We start from the raw sequence: 7,326 nt of genomic DNA, 5'->3' as shown, positions 1-7,326 counted from the left end.
ATATTGTTAATTTCACTTGAACTGCATTGTTTTTAGCTGAACCTCTGCGACTTTTTTTTTTTTTTTAAACATTTTGGAAACGTGTTTCCTGCTAGTATTTTCTCCTACTGCTTGAATTTAATATGGACATCAAGTTGTGTAGCCTAAAGCAAATATTTGTGTACTGAAGGTTATTGTGTAACTTGTAAGATAATTAATATTCCTGTTTTACACTTGACACTTAACATGTAGTGACATTTACATCTGTATATTCCAGTGAGCACATACTCTACAAATCCAAATCAAGATGAAATTCCTCATTGCAGTATTGACTGTTTCAATAAAAGATATCAGAGGAAGCATATTACTCTTTATATAGATATTTTCATTTTTAAATTGTATAGTTTTTGCAGGCTGTATTATGTTGTAAATTAATTACAAAGATGAAGGAAATTACTAAACCAATCATGTATGGGATAGACTTTTCCTACAAATATGGCTTTATTCTAAGAGATTGTGTTATAATTACCGAGCAAAGTACTCTTTGTTGTGGCTTCAACCAATTTTCTCTTGTTTGATTTCCAGTTTGGTGACGTCTTTATGTGTAATAAACTATAAAATTTACACTAATATAAACAGATTATTTCTATCTGTTCTTTTTAAACACTTCTGTCACTTTGCCATAGACGAAGAATACATAGTTACTTAAACAAATAGTGAATTTAATTGATCACATTGTGTGTGTGTATGTGTGTGTGCATGTGTGTCTATGTATTGCCCATTTGTGCATATACAATTCTGGACTAGGGCTATAAGATATAATATAGGGCTTCATGAGTTTGTTTGGAAAGTAAAATATATACATATGTATATATAAAAGACAGTAGCTATATATATGCAATGCATATGTATACACACATATCTGTATATCTATATTAACAGACATATAGACATGTGGACACATATATAGATAAATAGATAAAGGTATACTACAGAAGATAATACTTGGTAACAGAATATGAACTGCATAATGCTTGAGGCATTGCGAAGGTGCGTCACAATGAAGAGTTTTCCTGCAGGTAACTGTGGTACTAGGCTCAGAAATATTTTCACGCAGAAGAGAAATAGAGGGAGAAAAATGTTGAGAAAGTGTGAGATAAAATAACATGGCAATGAGCATTATATTCTGTATTGTAGCACTATGTTAAATGTATTACATAGTTTTTATTTCATTCTTGTTCGTCTTATTTAAGACAGAAAACAGACAAGAAGATAGATATAGCTTTGTTTAACAAGTCAGGCTGAATTCTACCCATTTGCAGAATGTGATTTATTCAAGATGATATATCTCTGTTGACTTTTAGCATAACATACAGGATTTCAGTTTTAAAAATAGTAATAACTTTAAAAATATGAGCATTCTACAATTCTCTTTTAGATTTAGTGTTCTCTGCAACTATTTGGAAATTCATTTAAAATATCTATTAAAATATTTATTTCAGCAAGTCATTACTTCAACAAACATCATTTTGCATCAAATAATTAGTACATCTTTGTTTAAATAAGGTTCTCCATTTACTTGCGTAAAAATGAGAGATTAAGAAGACCTGCTGTAAATTACACAATGTGACACTAGGAAACCCAATGGGAATACCTTTTAACATAGGCTTTCCAAAAAAAAAAAAAACATATGATTTGTTGAAAGTAAAAGCTTTAAGCTCTAATAAATTTTAACTGATGTCTGTGGTGTTACATTGTTGGGTATTTATTTTAAAGTATTGACTTATTTGTGTACTCATTTTAAGATTCTTGTCTAAGAATTAACATTGTTGCCTTATAAAGCATGTTAAACTTGACAAAGTAATTTCATCAACATGTTTTTTTTTTCTACCGTCTTCCCCCTGAAGTATCCCTGATAATGTAAGAAAACTAAGTGAAGAGGCTAACAAATTTAAGTGGAAAAGAGCAGCATAAAAAGAAGAAACGGCTGGGCGCGGTGGCTCACGCCTGTAATCCCAGCACTTTGGGAGGCCGTGATGGGCGGATCACGAGGTCAGGAGATCGAGACCATCCTGGCTAACATGGTGAAACCCCATCTCTACTAAAAATACAAAAAATTAGCCAGGCAAGGTGGCGGGCACCTGTAGTCCCAGCTACTTGGGAGGCTGAGGCAGGAGAATGGCGTGAACCCGGGAGGAGGAGCTTGCAGTGAGCTGAGATCGCACCACTGCACTCCAGCCTGGGCGACAGAGCGAGACTCCATCTCAAAAAAAAAAAAAAAAAGAAAAGAAAAAAAAGAAGAAGAAGAAACACAGCATCTCTGTTGGACAGTCCATAAAGCTTTAAGCAAGGAGAGTAATGATTGGGTAGAATTCCAAGACGTTTCCTGTAAGGGTAGAAGTTGTGCTTCATTTTGCTAAGTATCATAAGAACTTTGAGGAGTGATAAAGAGTCTTTGAACAGAGTTTCTTTAATTCACATCCAGCCCAGGTTTAATCCACTTCTAACCTAGAAATGTCTGTTAGAATTTATTTTTGTTATTTTATAACTAAGGGAGCAAGCGCCTCTTATCTTACTTCAGTAAAACATCATTGCCTGCAGATGAGGTCTATGTATGCCTTGCATAGTAGTTGATGCTCACTTTCACAATAACAAATAATCTGTGTTTGAGCTATATATTTAGATTCTAATTTACTTTTGAACAGTTTTCACTAAGTTATCCACTGGAACAAGAAGTCCTGTTTAAACACTGTGAGCTTTTCAGGATAGGGCTAAGTTATTTTCATATTATCCATCAATAGATAATAAATGTTATTTTCATCTCAAAATTATAAGTTGATAATCCATTGAATTTTCCATTTTAAATATTGTCTTACATCATTCCTAAGACAATCTCAAGGATATTGCTTCCTTGACATTCCAGAATACAGATTTTGAAAAACTATTCAAGTGTTTAAACAGAAAAGAAGACAGTTTATGGTAGTGGAAAACGTCAACACCTCTAACAGGATTTCTACCCATATATTTTACCTTAAAGAAAATAGGTGTCAACTTGAAAACAATAAAAATGTTAAGGATTGGCCGGGCGCGATGGCTCACACCTGTAATCCCAGCACTTTAGGAGGCCGAGGCGGGCAGATCTCGAGGTCAAGAGATCGAGACCATCTTGGCCAACATGGTGAAACCCCGTCTCTACTAAAAATACAAGAAATTAACCGGGCATGGTGGCAGGCGCCTGTTATCCCAGCTACTTGGGAGGCTGAGGCAGGAGAATCGCTTTAACCTGGGAGGCAGAGATTGCAGTGAGCCGAGATCGCGCCGTTGCACTCCAGCCTGGGCAAAAAGAGCGAAACTATGTCTCAATAAAAAAATAAATAAATAATAATAAAAATGTTAAGGATTTGCTGATATTTTAATTTTTAAAAAATGTCATGAAGATCAACAATTTGATTTTCTCTTCTTTGTACTTTTACTAGGCTGGAAACATTTAAATTGTTTACCAACTTTTCCCAAGTAGTATCATATCTATGATTAATTTAAAAACTCATTTGCTTATGTATTCAGTTATAAGCTTCCTATAAAAGACTGTTACAGCTTTTCTGTTAAACTCATACAGTTAAACTATCTGACCGAAAGTGTATTTTTTCTGTTTTTGTAATATTTACTAATTGTTAGACAATTCTTGATAAGGGTAATTACTCCTCTTCAATACACCACTCATGGTTTAAAGTTACTTAAATAAACCTTACTATGCTACAGATATCTTAATAAATCATAAGGACAAGCTTGGTCACAGTGACTTGTTTCTTGATTACCTCAAGGCATACTGGGTGAATTCTGACCATTCTAGCAACTTTCTATATGAACACATTTGATTTCTACAATTAAATGCCTATTTATACTCCAGATCTTGTGATTTGTCACAGCTGACTTCCTGGCTGATTTCTTCATTTTCTGGACATGAATATGTTACATTCAGATACTGCAGTTTTTTCTCCATCTTCCTTATAGCTGTTCCTTTGGGACAGGCATGGAAAACAAAACATCTCACCTTACAGTCTCACATTTTTATGGGCATTATAATGTTATCTTAACACACACTACTTTTACTGAAAATGATGAGTTTCATCTTCGTGCCTCATTATTTTTTGTCTTTGACTTGTTAGGAATTGTGAGGTCTAAAGCAAATCTTCTGACTAGGGCACTATTTTTCCTAAAATTGCATTAGTGAAACAGAAAATCAGGCTTTTCTTGCATACCACACCGCATCTTCTAATTTCATATGACTTAAAAAGCATGTAGAGAATTTTAACATGTGTAATATGTAATTTTAGGTACTGACAATCCAGAGATGAGCAAGATCATCTCAGTCCCAGGATGATAACCCTGGTCTGGCAGATGAGAAATTACTGGCTGAAGAGTCATCTCTCTTAATCATGCCAGCTTCTCCACAGTAACCATTATTATCTTAGAAAACTAGCCAATATTTATTTTAATTAGACAATAAATAATATGTATCTAACTTACCTAGTGAAAGCGTCTTGTCTTCCATGGACCTTAAAGATAATTAGCTGGCTGATTTTATCTGAGATTCAGTTTTGGGGTGGGTCCTGATGAGAGGAAGGTACTAAATATATGATTTTTCATTGACTGTTATAGGAATAATTAAATAAGAAACAATAAGAAGCTTGAAAAATGAATAATGAAATATTATTTTTACATTAAAAATGTAATTAACTTCTGATTTTATTTATAGCAATAGATAGTAAAAATGATAAAGGCAAAAAATGAACATTAAAAGTATATTATAATTATGTGCTTATGCTAAAAATGATTGTCTCTGATATTCAGAACATTCATACAATTCAAATTTTAAAACACATCCTCCCCTAGATAAGCAGGAAATATGTGCATCATTTACATTCTTCCTCCTTCTTCATGTTCCACATTTTACTGTTCCTCCAGCTTTTTTTTTTCTAGTGGGAGAAGATTAAGATTCTTTTCTTCAGATATTTTTCCCCAAGTCATTTAATTTGAGCTTCAAAAGTGAATTAAAACCCAAACCATTTCATCTCTCTGCTGCTCCATAAAAAAAAAAAAGTATGTATTTTTTTTTCTTGGCAGATTTCACTTAGTATAAGAGTGAACATGAAGAATCACATCAACAAAAGGGCTAACAAAGTACAAAATCTACATTTTTAAACCTGATAAATTATCTGCCCTCCAAAACTATTTTTTTCATTTACCATTAGAACACCTCAAATAAAATTTAGAGTTTCTGAAACCGAACTAATGTTTTACCCTTTTGTTGTGTACAAGAATAACAAGAGAAGTTTGGTTAATCATTTTAAGATTCTAAATGTAGGTAATGTGGGACCTTAGATGTGTTATCCTGGTTTTAACTTTTCAGCTATGGTTTCTCTATCTGGATAAAGAAAAAACAATACCTGATTTACAGTAAAAACCTAAAAACGCTTTTCTAAGGAATAAATGAAGTAATGCATGTGCTTGGTAATTAAAACATCTGATGTAAGTAAAAAATATTCTTATTTGCATATAGAAGCAACAGGAGAAATCAATTTAAAGGACAATAAATGTGCTAAAGATTCTGTAATTAATACTGTTAGTAACCATTTACAAAAATAAACTTTATATTTTAGAGCAATTTAGGTTCATAGAAAATTGAGTAGAAATTACAGAGAGTTTCTCTATAGCAACTGTCCCTACACACAGACTGCTTTCCCAACTATGCCTGCTCCACACCACAGTTGTATATTCATTACAATTAATGAGTCTTATTGAATATGGCATATACTCAACATTACAGTATCATATAGACAAGTTTCACTGCCATGAAAATCTTTTGTGCTCTGGCTATTCATCTCTTCCTCCACTAAACTCTAGCAACCACTGACTTTTTACTGTTTCCATCATATTGCTTTTTCCAGAATGTCATATAATCATACACTATATAGCCGGGGACATACTTGCATGCTTCCAGATAGGCTTTCATTAGGCTTCTTTAGATTAGGAATATGCATTTAAATTTCCTCCATGTCTTATCATGAGAGCTCATTTCTTTTTAGTAATGAATAATATTCCATTGTCTGCACATACCACTGTTTATCCATTCACATTAAAAAAGACGTGTTTGTTGCTTCCAAGTTTGGCAATTATGAATAAATCTGTTGTAAACATCCATATGCAAGTTTTTGTATGGACATAATTCTTCAGTGCATTTGGATAAATATCAAGGAGTGTGGTTTCTGGACCACATAGTAAGACTATAATTATTTTGTAAGAAACCAAGAGTTTTTTTAGGGTAGATGTACCATTTTGCATTTCTACCTACAATGTGTGAGAAATCCCATTGCTCTGCACACTTGTTGGCATTTGGTGTTGTCAGTGTTTTTTATCTTGGCCATTCTAATAGATGTGCGATGGTATCTCATTGTTGCCTTAATTTGCAATTCTTTAATGACATATGATGTTAAAAAAAAACAACTTTGCATGTACTTACTTGCCATATGCATATCTTCTTTGGTCAAGGATATGTTAAAGAAGTATTTGAGTCATGTTTTAATCTGGCCTTTCATTTTCCTACTGCTGAATTTAAAGAGTTCTTTATATATTGTTGGTAACAGTTCTTTATCAGATGTGTCCCTTGAAAATAGTGTCCCCCCAACCTGTGTCTTGTATTTTCATTACCTTGACATTGTCTTATACAGAGCAAAGTTTTTAAATTTTAATTAAGCCAAGCTTATCAATTTTTTCCTTAATGTATTGTGCCATTGGTGTTGTGTCTAAAAAGTCATCACTATACCTCAGTTACCAAGTTTGCCCTTCTGTTATCTTCTAGGACTTTTAGTGTTTTGCATTTTACATTTAACTCTATTATATATTTAGAAATAATTTGTATGAAGGGTTTAAGGTCTGTGTATAGGTTCTTTTTTTGCACATGTATGTCCAGTTGTTCTTCTACCATTTGTTGAAAAGAATATATTTTCTCCATTATATTGCCTTTGTCAAAGAGCAATTGAAGACAGTTACATGGATCTGTGTCTGGGCTCTCTATTCTCTTCCCTTGGTTGTCTCATTCCCACCTCTAAAGAAGTACATCTAACTGACATTAGGATAAGGATAAGGATAAAGATAAGGATAAGGATAAGGATAAGGATAAATATGACAATAAGGAGCAGGAGTGGGAGCAGCAGAAGAGAGAGAAGGAGGAGGAGGAGGAGGAGGAGAAGGATGAAGACGAATCTTAACTCCTTCCTGCTGACAGGGGGCGCTGTTTTAGGGAAAAGGCAGTTAGATCTCCCTCAGAGAACTATCTAAGGGTCCCCA

The sequence above is a fragment of the Homo sapiens genome, chromosome 4 (genome assembly GCF_000001405.40).
Source record: "Homo sapiens chromosome 4, GRCh38.p14 Primary Assembly".
Taxonomy (NCBI): Eukaryota; Metazoa; Chordata; class Mammalia; order Primates; family Hominidae; genus Homo; species Homo sapiens.
Note: the sequence above shows the minus strand (reverse complement) of the source record.